The sequence below is a fragment of the Homo sapiens genome, chromosome 18 (genome assembly GCF_000001405.40).
Source record: "Homo sapiens chromosome 18, GRCh38.p14 Primary Assembly".
NCBI lineage: Eukaryota > Metazoa > Chordata > Mammalia > Primates > Hominidae > Homo > Homo sapiens.
This window is the reverse complement of record NC_000018.10, coordinates 33,598,932-33,621,371: the sequence shown is the minus strand read 5'-3', so window position 1 is coordinate 33,621,371 and position 22,440 is coordinate 33,598,932. Positions and strand designations below refer to the sequence as shown.

Here is a 22,440-nt window from a genome sequence, read left to right as displayed (position 1 = left end):
AATAGTACGTAAGAACAGAACATTGATCCTTCTTTCTTTACACAGGGTTCAGCCTTCACTTACTTTTGAATATACTTTTGTACATTCTTCTTAAATTCTGAAATAATCAGCCTCTTCTAAGCTTAAAGATGAGTCAAATATTCATTGACTATCATTGTGGACAACTCACTCACTTTTCCTAAGCCTTAGTTTATTGATTTGTGAAACAAAAGTCTAAAACTATATGATCTAAAACATCCTTACCAGAAACAAAATATAATTCTCAGATAAACCTCATTCATGTCTTAGTTTGCATCCTAATGTGGTAGGGGCTGTTTTGAATGATCTGTTTTGAAGAGGAAGCTTCCTCTCAGATCAATTCTCACAAGCATGGTTTAAAATTGGGATAGTAATAAACAACAGTAAATGGTCCATGTGGAAACTAGTCCTGGCCTTCTTTTTACCAAAGGACACAACTCCTTAGCTATTAAAAATTATGTATCCCCCTACTCTCTTATCACAAAGGTACCCTTTTAATAAAGACTAGAAATTGTTGGGGAAATTAGGTGGTTGGAAGTTGGGTACAGGGAAGACTGGATTCAAAAGTTTAAATAATTATCTGCTCCAGGTTACTCAAAATGCTTCAGAGACTATTTCACAATCCCTCATCACCTTCTTATGAGAAAAGGAGAGAAGACTTTACCACTCTATGTACTATAAAAAGTAACTTATAAAACTTTGGGAATTAAGTTATAATTGGATGACTTTTAGTAATACAATAAAAAAGAAGGGAATTGAAAAATAATAAATAATTCTCGTCTTAGCAATCAAGTTAAAATTTCGAAAAGTTAAATAAAAACAGAGTAAGCCGTAAAAACTTTGGCAATTCCTACTAGTACTTCCTGTATTCTTGTTCAGTACTTTCCTTCTCGTAGTGGGGGAGAGTGGGAGAGTGGGAGAGGAGGCTTCCAAAGTGAGCCTTGCTAATCCTAACATTTAAGAAATTAAGATCTGAGCTATTCTTTAAACTACCTCACTGACAACAATCTGTTCCAACAAATCTTAATTAATGCCAATTTTCTATTTCTAGCTACCATCAGGTCATCTTCAATGAACACAAATTAAGCTACAAACTGAATAATCATTGTACGAATTGTATTTCCTGCAGACATGCTAGAGAAGAACTACATTATGAATTTAAGATAGCCACAGTGGCCTGAAACATGCCCTGCTTGGCAATTATGCATATGTCTTTTATAAAAATAAAAAGGAAAGGGTGAGGTTTTCATACTTCCCAGTGGGAGTATAATAAATGGGTGATAGGAGAGTGGATGAACAAGTGGTCATGATAAAGATTCTGCTTATTCTCTGCTTAAGAACACTTCCTAAAGGATGCAGTCATGCTGCTTCTGAAACTATACTGGGGCATTCATTCAGGCCTCCTTTTCTTTGCCTAGACACGTATCTCAAAAGGAAAAACGATGTTAATAACTTAGCCTCCCTCTACCTCCACCTAAACATGGTGGACCTAAACATTGTGGAGGTAGACAATCTCAACTATTTCCATGCAATTGTTTCCACAAGTGTAGAAATTGACACCTTCTAAAATTACCTTTTGGATTATCTACATTTTGTTAGCAATTATGATTTGACTAGTAGGTTAGCAAGAAACAAGAATTTCAATCTGTAAGTCCAAGATCAACAATAAAAAATTGAGTTTCATGAAGTCTTTAGTTCTCCCATTACCCACAGTACGTTTCCTGCCCTCAGAGCACCATCTTCTAAAAACAAACAGTACGAAGTTACATTTAAAATATGTCATGCTGCTGTCCATAAGCCCAAATCTTTACCCAAAATGGTCATCCTCATGTTGGACAAGCAAAACGGTGTGAGGTTTTGCATCCTCCAAATGTAAGTGGGTTGTGGAAATGTTTTTTTTTTTTTTTCAGTCTTCAAAACTATTTACAACTAGGGTATAAACTGAAAGAGTTTCAACATACCTGTCTTTGACAAACCAGACTTTCATTTTGGTGAGTAATCATATAGGATAGCAATAATCAGGCAGAAAAACTGCCAACAGCAGTAGGGGAGTGTTTACTCGATAGAATCTTATAACCAATACTTTTTTAAATCACAGTTTTATTAGACTTAGGCCACAAATGTTTAAAAAGGTTAAGAACAATTGGCTCTAAGTCAGACATCAAATCCCAGGTTTATCATTTTCTAGCTTGATGAACTTTTTCAAATTACTCACCCTCATCTGCCTCTGATTCTTTACTGGTAAAATGGGGAACATAGTATCTACCCATCTCAAATCTTTTGTTTCAAGGTAATTTATGTAAAGTCCTTGGCATTAAGCCTAATATAAAGGATCAATAGATGTTAGGTATTATTTTTATTATCATGTCCCTATTTATTAATTTGCTTGACATACTATATAAAACACAGCATTTCAGCACTATGCCAAGAAAATTAATGGTACAAAGGTATGAGTTCCTTTCCTTTAAGAGCTTATATTTGTGTTGGAAAGACAATACTTTTTAACATGTTGGAATATCATATACATGAATAATTCAAGAGATAATTTAGAAATTATCAACTTTAAAATCAAAAAATAACATCAAGTATGAGGCTTAAGATATGCTTCACAGAGAAGAGGCTGAAAGACCTCATTAAATAACACAGAAAATGGTCTGAAATACTCAAAGGCAGAAATGGTATTTTATTCATCTATTAACCCCCACAACTTCTACAGTCTCAAGAACACAGAATGTGCTGAATAAATGTTAATGGAATGAACATATGCCTTAAAACTTCCAAAAAGTTATCAGGATCTTACACAGTAAACACTGAGTAGGCGCTTAGTAGGTATTTAATTAACTTAACAGTAATATCTACATCTCCACAACTTTATCTTAATTTCTCTGAGGTCCTCTAATTTCTGTGATGTTCCTCTAATTTGACAACTAACCACCCTGCATATATATACCTGAGTACTAAGAACAGGCCCAGGAGATGATTACTAGCAGACTACAGAGAATCCAGATATCATATAGACATCTTGCACTGCACCAGCACAGGCCTTAACTTTTTAATAAAAAAGAAACTCAATAGAAAAACGACCTGAGTTCCAGTAAACAATTATCAATTTCATTTTTGCTTGGGTGTGTAAGAAGACAAAGGATAAATAGTCTTTTAATTGTCCTAAAAGAACTAAGACTTATTTTTAAGAATTATGTGCTATTGCTTTTAGAAAAACTGGCTCAACAAAAATATAATTTTTATTCCTTCTGAAAACAAATCAACTATAAAAAGAAGTCCCTATGTGAGCATATCAACTGTTCTGCATTTGAATTATGTTGTCAAGTTCAAAACAATGAAGCAAAACTAAAATCATTCAGGCGTGTGGCAATTAAGAGCACAAGCAATGAAATAAGAGAGGAAGAGAAGAGCTCCACTTAGAAAAAAAATTAAATAAAATCATCCCAGTTAAATGCCTATTCCTCCTCAAAGATTTTCACCTGCATAGGATACTTGGAAAGACTCACACACAATGTAATTTTACATCCATTTTGGGTCCTATTTCTGCACTGAAATATTTATAGAGTGTTCAATGTTTCTGGAGTAAATTATACCTAGATCTTGATAAAGCTGAAATCACTGAAATTACCTTTTTTTGCTCAATTATTTGGAAGAATGGAGAAAGAAAGCTTGACAGCATAAAAAGATATATTAAGAAATGGCCATTTCGTGGCTATAATTGCATAGCTTAGTGGTTATTGATGCCTTGAGGCATCAATATACATGCAGTCACCACAGCTATTTTTACCAAAGGTTTCAAATAAAATCCAAGTGAGTTTATGTTATGTGAACATACACATTATATTTGTTTTGTTTTGTTTGAGATGGAGTCTCACTCTGTTGTCCAGGCTGGAGTGCGGTGGCATCATCTCAGCTCAATGCAACCTCCGCCTCCCAGGTTCAAGCAATTCTCCTGCCTCAGCCTCCAGAGTAGCTGGGATTACGGGTGCAGGCCACCACTTCATGCAAATTTTTGTATTTTTAGTAGAGATGGGTTTCACCGTGTTGGCCAGGCTGGTCTTGAAGGCCTGACCTTAAGCAATACGCCCACCCCAGCCTCCCAAAGTACTGGGATTACAGGTGTGAGCCACTGCACCCAGTCAATATTTGAATATAAAACTTCTTAATTTTATTGGTTTATATGTTAGGAATAACATATGAAAACACATATGAGTAGTAAGCAAAAATAGAACCATGGTACTGTGTTAAGCATATTGTTATAAATAACTTTCAAAATGAATCAGATACAAAAAATTTCTAGAAATATTCTTATGTTATACTATGAATTCTATAAATCTTCCAAATTCTGAATCACGGTTATGGACTGAATGTCTTTGTACTTTCAAAATTCATACATTGAAACCTTAACCCTCAGTGTATCTGCATTTGAAGATGGGCCCTCTAGCGAAGTGATTAAGGATAAATGAGGTCCTAAGGATGGGGCCCTGATCCAATAGGATTGGTGTCCTTATAAGAAGAGACAGTAGACAGCTTGCTGTGTCTCTGCGCAGACATATGGAAGAAAGGCCAATGTGATGACACAGCAAGAAGGCAGCCAGCTACAAGCCAGGAAGAAAGCCCTTACCAGAAACGGACACTGCCAACCTTAATCTGGGCTTTCTGTCTTCCAGAACTGTGAGAAAAAAATTTCTGTTATTTAAGCCACCCACTCTATGGTATTTTCTTACAGCAGCTTAAGCTGACTAAGACAATCACAATTAAGTCTGGGAGGACTTAATAGTAATTAAGAGTCCTCTTCCATGCTTACTGCATTACTGTGAGGCATTCTGTATAAAAAGTATTTCCTTCCCATTCAGCAATCCAATCTTACATCAACAATGTGATAACTACCAGAAATGTGAGTGCCTATGCATGCACGTGTACACACACACACACACACACACACACACACAGGCACACACAACAGTCCTTGAATTTCTTGTGGGGCTCGACTTCTACTTTTCATATCATGAAAAAAATAACGGGACATTTCACAATGAACCACAAATACTCAACTATGGCTGCAGTATCAGATGTTTGACTATAAAGGCTTTACAGTTACCCAAGCCCAAGTCGATTAGGATTGTGCTGAAAACTTGAAACCTGATCTTGCTGGGTAACATTTCACATAATGATTTTCTACTCAGAAAATGCTACCACAATAATATCTAATCTTATCATCCTCCTCAAGAACTACTTAATTTTGTCCCTACATTTAAAAATAGTTTTAAGTTAAAAGAAGCTTAACTTATTAGAGATTACACAGTTATTTTAAACAATTAGTGATATTCATGTGCAGACTATGACTTATTTAATCAATGTTATACCATTTAACTCAAAACTAATTAAATATGTACAGAAAACATACAGTGCCCCAAAACATCTTAAGTGACATATTTTGGGTAAAACCAAATGTATATAAAAACGGCCAGATTAGAAATTCAAAATTTTATCTAAATGTAAGGTGTAATGTAGGCTTTATCATTCATATATAAGCCCTATAGTATCAGAGTATTATATAATAGATTTATCCAGATACCATCTAACTAGAAAAAGCACCATATTCAATTTAATCAAACAATCATCAAACATACAAAAGACTGTAGCTTTTGATTAATCACATTAAGTGATTAATATGTGTGATACAGTCTCTGGAATTTAGGGATACTTCATGTTTTGTGTGTTTCACTTTATTATGCTTCGCAGATATTGCATTTTTTACAAATTGCAAGTTTGAGGCAACCCTGCATCAAGCAAGTCTATTGGTGCCATTTTTCCAACAGCATGTGCTCATTTCCTGTCTGTGTCATAGTTTGGTAATTCACAATATTTGAAACTTTGTCATTATTATCATATCTGTTATGGTGTTCTGTAATCAGTTATCTCTGGTGTTACTACTGTAATTGTTTGGGGTGTCATGAACAGTGCCCATATAAAATGGTAAGCTTGGTCAAAATTCTATGAAGGCTAGGAGAGGTAAGGAAGCCGCAGAAGAAAAGTTAGAAGCTAGCAAAGTTTGGTTCATGAGGCTTAAGGAAAGAAGCCATCTCCATAACATAAAAGTGCAAAGTGAAGCAGCAATTACTAATGTAGAAGCCCCAGCAAGTTATCCAAAATATCTCGCTAAGATCATTGACAAAGGTGGCTATATGAAATAGATTTTCTATGTAGACAAAACAGCCTTCTGTTGAAAGAAAATGCCATCTAGGACTTTCATAGGTAGAGAGGTGAAGTCAAGGTTTGCTTTCAATGCTTCAAAAAACAGGTTCACTCTCCCGTTTGGGGCTAATGTAGCTGATGATTTTAAGTTGAAGTTGATCATTTAGCATTTCGGAAATCCCAGAGCACTTAAACATTATGTTACATCTGCTACACCTGTACTCTATAAATGGAAAAACAAAGCATGCATGACACCACATCTGTTTGCAACATGGTTTACTGAATATTTTAAGCTGTTAAGACGTACTGCTCAGAAAAGAAAAAAAAAAAAGATTCCTTTCAAAATACTACTGTTCACTGACAATGCATCTAGTCACCCAAGAGATGAGGGAGATGTACAAAGAGACTAATGTTGCTTTCATACCTGCTAAGATAACATCTATTCTGCAGTCCATAAATCAAGGAATAATTTTGATTTTCAAGTCTTCTTATTTAAGACATATATTTCCTAAGGCTGTAAAAGCCATAGATAGCAATTCCTCTTATGGATCTGAGGAAAGTGAATTGAAAATCTTCAGAGAAGAGTTCACCCTGCTAGATGCCGTTGAGAACATTCATGATTCACAGGAGTTGGTCACAATAGCAACATTAACAAGAGTATGGAAGAAGTGGATTCTGATCCACTTCAACACTTCAGTGGTGGAACTAACTGCAGATGTGGTAGAAACAGCAAGAGAACTAGAATTCGAAGTGGAACCCAAAGTTGTGACTGAACTGTTTCAATCTCATGATAAAACTTTCACAGGTCAGGAGGTGCTTCTTATAGATATGTAATGAAGGTAGTTTCTTGAGATAAAATCCTCTTCTGGTGAAGATACTGTGAACATTGTTGAAATACAAATAAATGATTTAGAATATTACATTAACTTAGTTGATAAAAAGCAACAGCATGGTTTGGGAGGGCTGACTCCAGTTAAACTAAGTTCTACTATGGGTAAAATGTTATCAAATAGCATTGCATGCCACAAAAATCTTTCAACAAAGGAAGTGTCAATCAATACAGAACACTTCATTGTTGTCTTACTTTAAGCAATTGCCACAGCCATTCCATCCTTCAGCAACCACTATCCTGATCAGTCAGCAGCCATCAACATCAAGACAAGACTCTCTCTACCAGCAAAGTGATTATGACTTGCTGAAGGTTCAGATTATTGTTATCATTGGTTTTCAGACAGGGTCTCACTCAGTCACCCAAGTTGGAGTGGAGCGGCACCATCTCAGCTCACTACAGCCTTGACCACATCGGCTCAAGTGATCCTCCTGCTTCAGCCTCCCTAATTAATATCTGGAACTATAGGCATGTACCACCAAGTCTGGCTAATATTTTATTTTTTATAGAAACAGGGTCTGTTTCTGTTACTGTCCAGGCTGGTCTTAAACTCCTGGGCTCAAGTAATCCTCTTTCCTTGGCCTCCCAAAGTGTTGGGATTATAGGCATGAGTCACCATGTCCAGCATAAAGTATTTTTTAAATTAAGGTATGTACAGTGTTTTACATACATAATGCTACTGCACACCCAACAGACTACAGTATACAAATACGACTTTTATATGCACTGGGAAACCAAACAATTTGTGTGACTCCCTTTTTTGCAATATTCTCCTTATTGGGATGGTCTGGAATCAAATCTGCAATATCTTCAACATATGCCTGGATTATGGATTCCTTATTAAGAAATGCTACTATAAACTGCAGTCGGTTTTGAGGAAAAAAATAGATTTGTAAAGGGGGAAGGAAGACTTGGGATAAGATAACCAGATAAGAAGATAGTGCAATAATCCAGGTAAGGTAAGGAATAAGTATCTGAAGAATTGCAAAAAGTATGGTACACAGAAAGAAAGACGTGTTTAGGAAGATAAAACTAACACTACCCAGAACCATCTGGCCATGATGATATAGGAGAAGGGAGTTAAGAATGGCACTGATTGAGATTTCTAATCTGAGTAATGATGACAAGTAAAATTTTATGTCAACTAAGAACTAGATTATTCTCGAAGCTTGCTTATACACATGTACACACACAAATATATGCAAATTGCCCTATGTTTCTGTTTAATAACACCATTGTCTCATACATCCCTCTCTAAGTAGCTGACTGTGCACACCATTTACACAATGAGAGAATTAGATGTTAACAAATGGCAGGGATGACACTGTGAGCTAACACTGTAATTCTAAAATGCCCAACACAAACAAACTAGACCACCATTTCAGTATTAAAGGAAGGGCACCAACATGGAGTCTGCAGATAAGAATTGATTTTGCAGTAGAAATTACTTGCGTTTATTTCTTATCTCTAGGCAAAACATTGCAGCGGCAAGAAAGAATCATCTCCTAAAGCACTAATTAGCAACGTAAATCTCACCAAGAGCAATGCCAAGAAATTTTATTGTTTGTCACTATACATGGTAATAGAATTTCTGACATGTTATCCCCCTAAAGAAATGCAACATATTTAATAAACCACAGTACAAAGTGGAGATTCTAATTTCAGCATATCATAACAGAGACCGCAAAACAGAAAACATAAAAAGTCTTAAACAAAATGAGGTAAAAATAAATTCCAGAGTTATCAGTGGAATAAAGAATTCTCATTGATACTAGAATAATGACAAAATCTGGGATGTCAATGCATGTTCTACATCATGAAATCTAAAATATGTCCATTATTCTGAGGAACGCTAAACACAATAGATACTGTTTATAAAACTTTTTAAAATGTCCCTACTGGAATATATATTTATAGTCTGCTTCTCTTTAAACAGTTGATGAAATTTAACATAGTTTTTAAATCTAAAATATGGCATCTCTAATATTGTTAAAATGTACCTCATAAATATTGTCTTGCTTTCAACCCAACAGAGGTTTTCTTAATTGCTTTGTGTGGTTTGTGTATATATATATATATGTTTAATTTTATGACCACTTCACCCTCATTATAAACTATTTGCCTATTACCAAATAATATAAAAACTAAATCACAGTTCATGCTACATTAATGACAGGTATCTTGTAATGATAATGCCCAGCACATAAAAAATTATTCCTCACTGATGAATGGTTGTTTTGCTCTCACTATGTAAGTCATGCAAGCCTTACTCCATAACCTTGCAGCCCCTGGATATGTTACTATAACAGAGCACACATTTCTTTGGAAGCACCACTTTAAAAATTACGTAAGACATGGCATCAAAAAACACATCCTCAGGCATCAAAAACCCCATAGTCCTCTTGGTAAAGGAATGATAACCTCTGAATGAGCAAATCAAAAACAGAAAATCAGAATTGGGATGTCCCCCAAAATCACCCAAAACAACACTGTAACTAGACGTACTCCTCTCTTCTAAATGAATACTTTCACTTACTGCAGACAAGAACATATTCCATGGCAGCACCCTAACTCCCTAAGGAAGTGAGGATGTTTATCTAAGAAGTCCAAAGAGGGATATCAAATATCCATCCACAAAAGCAGCAGACTGGAATATTCACATTTTAATCCCGTCTATAGAAGCAGCATGGCCATTTGATTATATGATTCCAATCATCTGAAAAGCCTTCCAATAACTTTGATTGATCAACTGTTGACAATCAATAAACATAAAGGGCAGAAGCCCTAAAAATACTCAGAATCAGTGAAGCAAGCACACAGAGGGACCAGAAGAAAATGACATTAATAAAATCTTCTACCCTATTATACAGAGGGAAAGTAAAAATTACCAAGAATATTTTCATAAGAAAGAAAACCAGATCTTAAAAAATCATTCTATTATTTTTTTTCAACAAAACCACATGTCCTTCTGACAATTTATTATATTCATATTTCTTTTTTACCCACATGGAAGGTACTTATTTCATTCTGGCTTTTCCAAATAGAATTCAATCCTACTCTACACATTTCATCAATAATATGAAGATGAGACACAGAACATGATGTAAAAAAGTTGTCCTATCTTTATCATGTCTACATGAAAATTATATTTAAAGTGTCAGTTGTAAAGAGGAAAATATAGCATACAATGTCAAATTTCACCTCAGTCAAATAACAGTAACATATATAACGAACACATTCAAATATCCTCATTAGTTTTAACAAAATTATAATGTAGTTTTTCTATTATAAGTTGCAAGTTCAAACCAGTGGCTTTCACAGTGTTTGAAAACAAGCAACAGCACCATAACTTTAGTTGTTCACAGATAACCTGCTGGAAACTATCAGCATACATATATTTAATGGGATTTCCACAAACGTGTTAAGTTTCTTTTGATGTTAAAAATAACTACTATTAAATATCATAAAAATATAACATGTAATGTCAAAAAGAAGCTTCTAACTCTGAATGCAAGCCGAAGTTGTTACTAAGCACCAGCAAATTAACGTCTTGAGAATGAAGATTATTGACTAAACAACTGTTTATTGAGTATCTGCCGAGAGCCAGGAGTGTTAGGTACCCTGCCCTTAAGGAGCTCACACACAGGCAGGGAAGACATACAAAGACAAAATTACAGTACAGCGAGGTAAGTGCTCTCGGAGACCTGCCTGGCACACATAGAATGAAGGACCCCGATAGCACTTGAAACAAATGGCCTTGCTTTGAGTACAGATTGGAATGATGATGGCTGAAGACCTTATCTTCTACTGTCTAGAACTGCTAGGTACAGTGGAGGACTGTTTGGGGGAGGACCATTAAAACATTACCTTTCATCCATAGAAGAGACCACCAGAGGGTTATGGCCATATTAGTAACTTCACAAGCACTTCCCTGTATTTAATCAGGCATATTACCAATGTGCATTTCTTAAAACACATCATTAGTAAATACCTAGAAATCAATCAGCTTATGTTTGACTTCATGAAGGTGGAATTTCTAAACTTTACTTAAGAAAAATACATACAGTTACACTTCATTTACTCAACTGCCTTAAATATTTGGAAAACATTTAAAAACTTGGAAAGTAACAAAACAGTACATTAAGTAGGCAAAATAAATGTCAGTATCTGCTCCTTGAAACAACATACATACATACAGGACAGTCCTAAACTTACTCAAAAGCTAGGTATGTATATTTTAGAGGTGACTCAAATAAGCAAATTAGAACTAGAAAGCAAGGGAACAGTGAGCAGAGATGCATGAGCCATAAGTAATGGATTACCATTGACAAGAAGGGGGAAATTTAAAGGAATAGAATGAAAAAACAAATGGGAGCACAAAATGCATAGTCTGAGGCCACTTGATGCAGAGCAGATTTTACAGAAGAAAACTTCAACTGTGTTCTCTTTCTTTGCCTTTCCCTTCCCTATTCAAACTGGTAATTGTGTGCAGGTACTTTCACTAATACTATACTGGTTCATGAGTGTTTGTAACAAAGGACTCTTTTTCCTTACAGAAGGACAAATAGTGATGTAGTGGGTGAAGTGGGGAGAGGGATTCAATTTAGAGGACTAGGGAGTTATGTTTCCCATTTCAGTGTTCTTTAATTACTCTTTGAAGAAGTTGGTTTTTAAAATTTGTTTGTATTTGTTAACTATGCATGCTGAAAGCCCTCTTATATACCATTCTGGGAGGACCAGCATTTTGAAAAAATTGAAATAATGATATAATGATAACAAGTGTAATTAAAATGTTGTGAGCCACGGTACAGGGATTTTTATATCTCTAGCTTCATAACAACTGATAACAGCAGAGTCATTCCTGTGGAGAAGAATATCTTAATGAACGAATTTCAAACGTCTGCTTTTAGGAGGTGCTTTTTATGTCCAAGTTGGCAGATTCCTCTGGCAACAAAGCCCACATAAGACAGTAGACATCCTTAGATTTTTAGCCCCTCTTTTCTTTTGACTGTGGCACAAATATTTTCAGTGCTTTCTAAATGTCATAAATATTTCCAGGGTTACTGACAGGTGGCAAGAAGAAAATTAATCTCCTGTTTTCCTGATTTTGTTCCCTAACTCCTTAAACTGACATCCGGGTTAAAATAGGATCTCCTTTAACAGAATTGTTAGGTACTGTTAGCAACTAATCTATCCACTGCTGCCTCCACTTTCTGGGGGAACAACTAGCACAAACACAGCGTGGTTATATTATCTTAGGCTATTTCTCCAGCGTAGGCAAAAAAAAAAAGTCTCCAAAATAAAAAATGAAAATTTGAGCATAGGTGTCCTGTACGCCAGTAAATTGTGATGTCCATGGACCTACCTTGCTAAATAATACATTTTAAACAGCTAGAGGCTGATGTTACCCACACATTAAAGTTACAGGAGTTATAGGTGAAACCTATTTTTCACAAAAAGTCAGCCTCAGAAGGATATTTATTTATCTTAGCAGTTTCTATATCCACATCAATGAAAACATTCAAAAGGCAGTTCAGTAGGTTTAATTTCATCAAGTTGCAACTACTGTATGCTCAATGGCTTACAGATGGACAATTCATGTACACAAATCTATTCTATGTAACATGGCTGATTACATACACATATGACAACATCATAGTTGTTTTATCCTATAGTAAACCTTTTTCTCCTTGAGTAGTATCATCTATATGGCCCTAACCTGCTATCTAAAGCCAAAACCATAAAATTAATACCCAAGAATAAAGAATCATCAGTGAAATACTACCTGCAACCAAAAGGAATGAATTCCTGATATATGCTACAACATGAGAAAACCTTGAAAATATTATATGCTAAGTCAAATAAGCCTTTCACAAAAGGCTACATATTAGATGATTCCACTTATATTAAATATCTAGAATAGCAAGTCCATAGAGACAGAAAGTGGACTAGCAGTTGCCACAGGCAAGAGTAGTTGGGATATGGAGTGACCGCTAATGGGTACAGGGTTTCATTTTAGGGTGATGAAAATGTTCTAAAGTTTGATAATGTTGATGATGCAGAACTTTGTGAATATAACATAACCCACTAAACTGTACATTTTAAAAGGATAAATATTAGGCTCAACAGCTATTACGGGATGCACCAAGTAGAGTTCTTAAATATAAGAGGACTAGATTTTCAACCACATTTATTGGCACTGAATTTTATCAAAGTGAGCTCATCTTTATATCCTAGGATCTACCTATTAAACCTGTAAAAGTGTTTCTCTTTCACCATTTGGTTTCAGAAACACAATCTCCTCTTACAAGAAACAGGAATAACTTCAATGAGGGGCTAAGTCACACAGTGCTGTTCTTTGTTAAGAAAGTACCTCCTGTATCAATCCATCTAACGTAATGTATTAAGGTAACAGGCAAGTCCAAGGAAATCTTAAATCATCCAACGATTTCTTAATTAGAAAGAATTTGTGGGGAGTTAATTCACAATCAACTACAATATCAAAATCTAGATACACCTATCGCTTAGCAACGAGTGGCAATTATTATTTAATGAAAACAGAAAATGTTTTAAATATGGATACTGACCTTGTTTCTTTTAACCCTTCTTTCTGAATGACTTCCAATATCTGCTTTGCTGTCATTGGTGAGTTGGGGTGTTTTTCTAGTGCCTAAAATATAAACATAAGATTCCTAGATTATTGCATGGCAGCATACAAAATGAAAATGTATGTGAATCATGCATTCTCTGCTTATTTTATTAGAGGGGAAGGGGCTTTTACATCAAAAGCAGTCCATCATACAGATCAGGTGTCCAAAGGAAGAACGTAATTTTTTTGGACATTTAAATCGGAAATTTCTGCAACAAAAAGGGGCCATCCTTCAAACATGTCACAAAGGCGTACATACCAAAAAAGGAATGTGAACCCTAAAGAAAACAAGTTAACAAATGTATATAATTTCCTTTATTTAAAAAGTTGCTAAAATTTTATGGTGAAAGTCATGTTTTCAGGCTGTTAAAATGTTTCCTAAGATTCCAGGTCCTTGGAAACATGGAGCCTGAATACTACCAATAGAAGAGAACGGAGTGCTGGTCACAAACAGCCTCACTGGATTCACGGCCAAAATGTTGAAAGAAGCATACAGGAACCCAAGTAACTCATTACAGTGTGTTTTCCAGTTCAGCTCAGTTTCCTTTCCTTTGCCTTTTCCAATTAATTTCAAGTAAGCCCTTTCCTCTTCCGATTTAGCCTATCTCAGTCATATGAACTCAGTCCCATTCTCTTTCTCTCCTCTTCTGCCCTACTTATCTTTTGTGAAAGGGGTTCTTTTAAACAAAGGGTGTGGAATACACAGGACATAGCTGATTATTTCCACAGGTCTTAGACCATCAGCCCTGGAAAACAGGTTCCTTTATTTTGCAGGGACTTAACCCCATGTGGTGGAAACAATAAGCAGCAGTGCCCCTATTGTGCACCAACATGAACTACAGGGACCACATCTGGGTACAAGAAACAAGTTACACACATCTCCACAATGACCTACTCCAAGGGTAGATGACACCTAATTAAAGATGCTATGCAAGAGCTTCATGCTCAAGTCATGGCCTCTTGTAACTTAGAGACACTAGAGTTCTAATCTATGATTATTGGAAGAATCATAATTATTAAGAATTAACAGGGTCATTCTGAAAATGTAAACTTGAAAAGGCTTCCAAATCTGTTCAAAATGGCTCTGTGATCTCTTATACTGTCAATAACCAAATTTCAACTGATTCACAAGTGAAGGCTCTGTTCATCAAGGTCCCTCAGTGTGTTGCACACAGCCTGCCCATCCTAACCTTTCAGACACTTTCCTATTCTCTCTTTCTAGTTCCCAGGAAATTTCCTCCTTTTTCCCAATCCTGATCAGCCCCTTCCTTACTCATGTTATAAATTATTAAAAGAATACAGAAATATGAGCCACACTACAACAAGGGTATGGCAACGAATATGTGAACGGGAAGGAAGGAAAATGGTCCTTGCAGAAGAGGACACTGTAGAGGTGAACTGAACACTCGAAAAGGGGAAACAGAAACATAGGCAAAGTTGTTTAGGGAAGAGGAGTATAAATATATTGGAAAAAAGGCAATAAGGAAACTGCATAATAGAGCTGTAAAGAAGGAAAGAGTAGAAGAGCACAGGGAAAAGAGGAAGAAGCTGATATGAAAACAAAAAGCTGACAGAAGTTTTAAAATAAGAACTGTAAGTAGAACAGTACATAATTATGAATTACTGAAAGGAGATGCTGTGTTCACATGGACTATATATAGTGTGGGCACTGCCTCAAATGAAAGGCAACGGGTCTCTCATAAAAGATATGGGCAGGAGGTCAATAGACACAGACACACAGGAAGCAAGCAAGGAAGAGGGCAACTGGAGGGAAAGGCATACGATGGGGAAAGAGGAGACAGATAGGAGGAGGGTGAGAAAGGAGGAAAATTGAGCTGAACTGGGAATGTCTAAAGGCAAACTGATTAAATCTAGAAAGGGCCAAAGAAGAAACTCTAGTGTACTAGACAATGTTTAAATGGAAATTTGGGCACACTGGAAATTGGGGTTACTCACTGTGGAGGATTCCCTGTTTCTCTTCCTGAGTACAGGCCCCTCAGCACACCTGGGCAGCTCCTCCCAGCAATTGAGAGAATTTGGATAGCCCTGTCCCCTTCTCTATGACATCACATCCTACTCTACAAAGGAAGTAAAAGTGCCAAGAATTACATCATGAAGTGGATGAGAGGCAGGAAGGAAATGATGAAGCCACACAAAACACCAGAAGCCACCCTCAATTCCTGCAAGACAGAGAACAGAGAGAAGGAGAGGTTCCTGGGTGTGAACAAGCTTTATTGATTGAGCTGTGTAAACATTAATAGAACAAAAGATAAGGAGAAATTATCTTCACAGAACAAAACATTGATGCCATCAAAATAATGTGACACATGGCAGAGACATGAATCAGACTCACAGACAGCCATACTCTAATACACTGAGTGGGGCAAGCCACAGTCAGAGCACAAAGGCATCTTAAGCTACCAGACCCAAACCTTAGACTAACTGTCCATTGCCCCAACAATCTCTTGACCATAAGGCACTACCTGGTCTTGTTGTTGCTTACATTTTGGATGTTTTGGTGGGAGATCTGTTTTATTTATTGTTACACAAGCAACTATTCATCAGGCTTTTCCATTAACTTCTTTAATGTTTAGAAATTCCTTTTATCCAGAGAGCATGCAAATACCTACAAGTATTTCTTTCAAGTACTTATTTTTTAATTCATCTCGAATTTATATTTTTTGCTAAAGTGAAATATTAACATCTGCCCCCTCCTCCCCACAGTAAGCCTTATTTCCCCAACATAATTTGTTTCATATGCCACACATTGGCTAGTGAGGCATCCTCTACCATATGTTAGTAGTAGGGCAATAAAAACTTTTCAAAATGTGAAACCTAAATATAAATGTGGGAACCCAATATATAAAACACACAAATGCAGAGCTGTTCATGTTGAGCTGGAGATGAGAGAGCTTGGACCCCCACACTTACTCCCTCTAATGGCTAACGGCACTTCTGGGAATTTTAAGAGTCTCCAGAAGAAACTGCATAACGCTGTCCTTGGGGGGCTTTGTCCAGGGGTCCCACTAGGTTCCACTGATCTTTCCATCAATTGCTGAGCCAACACTACACTGTTTTAATTGCTGTAATATTATACTTCACTCTCTGAACAGGACACTGCTCTCATTACTCCTTCTTAAGTTTCTAATTATTCACTTTATTTTTCCAGATGAAATTGAGATTGGAATTCAACGAAACATCTAATTAAATTCCGAGGAATTTTATACATCATTCCACTTAAGATTTATTTTGTAACCTGTAATAAGCTTTCTATTATTTTATATTTTCAGTTGCAACTTTGAATATACTTTTTTCATGTAATAGTCCCACGTTCTATTGCTAATACATATAAAAGCCACTAAATCAGGGTAATTATTATCTATATGAATAGTTAATTGAGTTAATAGTTTTAATAGCACAGAGTATACAATCATGTTTTCTACAAATATTGTGAATTGCTTCTCCTTTATAATAGCTGTATGCTTTATCTTTCCTACATTATTTATATTGGCTAACAATTAATCTTTCTTAGTCCATTTCAAAAAAATTTTTGCTGAAAATCTGAGCACTTTACAATTCATTTCCTCAAAAACAGTCCCCTAAAACTGCTGAGTTTCGCTAAGAATATCTGTAGCTAGAATTATTGGAACTAGCACTGCCAGGAAGATTGTAATTACAAACCACTGGCCACATATCACTGTCTCTTCACAAATCAGATTCTGAAACAGTGCTCAATTTTTACATAAAATGTCCTTTCTTTCTTTGTAAAACAAATTGTTCTCTTGTGTTAAAACTATATTTGTGATCTTACTTCACTCAATCTCTGAGATGTCTTGCATCTCTCATGGACTGAAGTCTTTTCAATTCCCAGCTACTTTCTTTTTTCTTCACTTCTACTCCATGAAAGGTTTCAAATTCAACATTGCTCTCCACAAACGGGACTCTCCACGGCTGGTGCACAAAGCAAACACACAACTAGCTGCCTTCCTAGTGGTGGATCTATTTTTCACAGGAGGTAAACAGATGTACAGAGCTAGCAAACATACCATTACATTCCACCTTCTTATCTAACTAACTCTATCAGGGCCTATCTCAAAGACATATACATTCATACAGTTTTGAGGCAAGATAGTCTCATTCCAGAAATTTCCTCCCCTAGACTACTACACGTCCTAGTATGGGGAGAAAAAAAATGCAAAAAAGGACCTGTAATACCTGCAATATAATTAAAGGAAAGAGAGATGATTTGCCAAATCATTTAGGGCCAAGTTAAGAATGCAATTTTCTATGTGTTAACTTTGGTCCTTAAGTACCTTTCTGGCCCAGGAACACTGGCTCAAGCATATTAAGGCTTACTCAAGAATTCCTTGGTGTCTCTCAAAGAGAAAACTCATTCTAAGTATCTCTAAGATCAACACATTAGACCAGTGTTCATTTAAAGGTTAAAATTTTTGCCCTTCTGGCCCAAAATAAAACTTTCTGAGAGAGCTTACTTATTTGACGGCAAAATAAAAAATAATCCCTACAATTTAAGTACCATTTCAATGATAGATGTCTACATTTGTGGAATTCTAAGTGGGTATCAGTGACCAGGCTTTCTCCCTTTTTCTAACATTAATGTGTCATCTTCCCTCAATCAATACTGGCAGTTCATTAAAGTGTTCAGATGTTTAGGGCCTCATGTCCAAGGTAAACGATTTTGGGGTTATAACAACAATAAACCATTATATACCTCTTTACAATTACAGATGACTTTTATACAACATATTTTATTTCATTTGCTTCACACAACATATGTTATTTTATTTGATCCTCAAAACAACTCAGTGAGATGCATAGAGAAGTATTATTAACATTCTCTGAGATGTACAAAGCTGAATTGGCTCAAGGCCATTAGGCTAGTGACTAGATGAACAGGACCTGTATGCATTACGATACTGATGACAATGTTTAAGTATAATAAGAGCAGCTAATATTTATTAGACAACTCCTATGTGCTAAGTCCTCTCTGGGGGCTTTCCATTATTACAAAAGACTTAGAATTAATATGTTTAACATTCCCTATTTCTACTACTCTTGAAAACCTCAAAGGTCCATGTCATTTTGATGAAACATGAACTTGGATTACTGATAGCCTTCAGATGAGAAAATAAATTACATCAAAAGTGACAGCACCTCAGCAAATACCCAGTATTCACAGCTCAATCAGGTTGTTCTTCACTCCCAGCATATGTGGCTGCTGGATGAAGGGTTAAAGATGATACTAACAATTTTCTATTCTATTTAAATGTACTTTATGGTAAAATTATATGCTATTGTATAGCTGTCCCCTACCTTTTTGGCACCAGGGACTGGTTTCATGGAAGACAATTTTTCCATAGAATGGCAGGGGGGAACAGTTTCTGGATGAAACTTCCACCTCAGATAATTAGGCATTAGTTAGATTATCATAAGTCAAGGTATCATCGCTCTCACAAACCCCAGTTCAGCAATTTCACACTTAAGAACAATCAGCCCAGACGTGGTGGCTCATGCCTGTAATCTCAACAATTTGGAAGGCTCAGGTATGCAGATCGTTTGAGCCCAGGAGTTCGAGACCAACCTGGGAAACACAGTGAGACCCTGTCTCTAAAAAAATAAAAATAAATAAATAACAATAAGCAAGGCATAGTGGTGTGTGCCTATAGTCCCAGCTACTTGGTAGGCTGAGGCAGAAGGATTGCTTCAGCCTAGGAAATTGAGGCTGCAGTGAGCAGTGATTGCAACACGGCACTCCAGCCTGGATGACAGTGTAACACCCTGTCTCAAAACAAACAAACTATATATATACAATCAGATATTTACTTAAATTCTCAGATAATGGTTTAAACTATACATTCCCTTGGTATAGGACCTGTCAAAATTGTCATTAATTAGTGTTATCTTGTTTAATGATATTCTTCCTGCTCACTGTAAACCTCATGTAATCCTGGGCCTTGGTCCTCATTCACATCTATATCTCCAAATTGTAGCACTACTAAATAGGCTCCAATAAACAAAGACCAAGTTAATTTGGGGGAATGTTTTCAGTCATTCTATATTTGGAACTTTTTATAGAATAATAATGAAGGTTGTGAGCTCTGGAATCAGATGAACCAGGAATCCCTACTCACTAGATGTCTGATGTTAGATAAGACATCAGAAATCTCTGAGTCATAATTTCTTCTCTTCCTTACTCACAAAAATATTGTGAGGACTAAATGAGATAATGAATATAAAGCACTTATTATTCCAATGAGCCAAATGACTGCCTACAGCAATGAGTGTTAATAAATAGTAGCTAATATTATTGGCTGAAAAAAAAAAGCTGGCCCCTTTGAACACAGCCTAGAAACACAGATTTTTTTCAATACAAAGAAGAGCGCTACCAGAAAATCATAGGAATTAAATGTGGTCTGAGATTTCCTAAGTAAACTTCACTAGTTACTACAAATCAGACTAGCCACATATTCTCATCCCTCGTTGCCTGACCAATTCCAAACGTATTCCACCAATGAGGCACAGGAAAGCCTGCACCATACTGTGCCTGGTTTCCTCATGGCATGCTTTTAGATACTGTTCAGATGACTAGGAAGAAGAGCATACTAAAGGACCAATTATCTTGTTTTGCTTGTTACAAATCAAAAATATAGAATATCAACAGTAACAACTTACTTCCAACAACATATACTGAAACTTTCAAGCAATTATGATATATGGTATCATAGAATATTCATGAGAAGGAAACTCTGTTTTATAGCAACATACTTCAGTTGCCCAGGGTCATAAAACCTGAGCACAGCTGAAAGACATGGTTTTTGGAGTTTCAAACAAAGTGGTCATTCCCTGAATTTGCAGATGAAATTCTATGCAATTGAGAAGTGAATCCTAATTTCCTGCAGGATTTTGGCAACTTTTTTGGATCTCAGTAAGTTTCTAATCATTTAAAACACTTCGCATTCCTTTTTCACACAGAAAGAAAACAAAGTGGCAGACACTCAGAATTTACACAATGTTCTAAAAAGTAAGAAAAGAATAATTGTTTAAATAATGATATGTAAAACTTGTTTTACAAAGTAAAACTTCTCTTAACAAAAAACAGAGAAATCTTCCTACTACAGAAATTTGCAGGCAGTCTATTCTCTTAAGAGCTTAGTAACTATTAAAGTTTTTTCAGTACTTCAAGTAAACATTATGCTTTCCTTTCATTTCTATCAAGTAATCCTAGTTTTTGCCTTTGAATATAACAATAATTATTTAATGTTAAATTACAAACACTGTTTTATCACGTAAGGTCAAAAGGCAATTGTGTTATATAAGTTTACAATTATGGGATTCAATAAGTTATACACAAAATACGTTGCCACATATTTTTAAACACTATTCAGACCAAGTCTCCCTTTGTTTCCAGACTAATAGATCCTTAGTTTCTTCATCAATCTTCATATAAAGTAGTTTGCAAACACAGTCACCCAAATCATCCTTCTCTGAACATTCTTGAGTTTTCCAGTGTCACTTTTAAAATACATTTAAGAATTACACTCATTAAAATAAATGAGCTAAAAATTGATAAATATTTTAACTGTAGCTTGATCCAAATAGAATATGGGAAAATCATTTTTTTCTATCTGCAGTAACTACATTAACCTAATATGACGTGCTTTTTTTCAGCAGCCACCTCACATTGTCACTCAACTAAAAGTTCCAGATCTTTCAATATCTGCTTCTGAAATTGCACCCACAGCTCTGTGGTGTGTTTTCCAAACTTGCCAGGCATAAGCATATCTTTGTTTTAATGCACTAGTGTTTGTTTAATCCAGTTATTTAGGCTCTGAAATCTTATTAGTGCCAAATAGCTGATTATTGAAAGTAACAGCTAAACTCATCCCAGAAATCTCCTCCACTGGATTTCTACATGCCCCAAAAAAACCTGCTGCAAAAAAGGACACTGTGATCTCAAGTAAATTTTATCTTTTAGTTACATATTATTTTCTCAAGCTTACAAAGTTCTTTTGTAATCCCCATTGTTTTCCAATTGCTCGGTTTCCCTTATTTTATTGGCCACCTATTTGACAAGCATGATTTTGACTTATTCCTCCAAGTTATTCATGACAGAGCTAAACAAAGCAATGGAAAACAAACTGTTGTGGCTGCCACTGGGATCTCTTTTCAGACTGATACTGATTACTCAATCTATATACTTTATCTATACATGTTCAATCCACTACAAATTCATTTAATTATACTACCACCCAGTTTATAAGTGTCCATCACTTATGAATGAGTTTTACAATAAACAGACTTATATCAAATGACTGGCTGAAATTTAGCTCTAACATATGCATCTTCCTGATGTATAAGTCTAATAATCCTATCAAAAATAAATTAATTTAGTTTGACATGAATTAGAGAATCCATAATGCCTTCCAGGGATATGATCTTCCGCTTCTATATGCTTACAGTCATCTGTTTAACAATACACTCTTGTATTTTACTGAAGGTTGAGATGAAGCTCAACAATCTATAATTAAAAATTTTTCTCTTCTCTTTTTTAAAATGCAGTTACTCTGCATTAAGCATTATTCTAACATGCATATGAGTTCATTTAATACTTTTAACAACCCTATCACATAGGGCCTATTGTCCCCCTCATTTTATAGATGAT

General features: G+C 35.7%; 1 protein-coding gene across 8 annotated transcripts in view; it reads right to left on the bottom strand.

Moving 5' to 3' along the window:
* Positions 1–22,440, bottom strand: part of ASXL3 (ASXL transcriptional regulator 3) — a 172,977-nt gene that overhangs the window by 129,824 nt on the left and 20,713 nt on the right. For 2 of the 8 annotated variants that reach the window (XM_005258356.2, XM_011526205.3), the window contains exons 2-3: positions 13,696–13,778; positions 12,319–12,321 (exon numbers count right to left, since the gene is read on the bottom strand). In XM_005258356.2, the coding sequence (XP_005258413.1) occupies positions 12,319–12,321; positions 13,696–13,778 (86 nt within the window). Of the gene's footprint in view, positions 1–12,318; positions 12,322–13,695; positions 13,783–15,713; positions 15,786–15,866; positions 19,348–22,440 lie in introns of those variants that run through there. The other 6 variants (XM_011526209.2, XM_011526212.2, XM_017026012.1 and 3 more) reach the window with 5 other exon arrangements.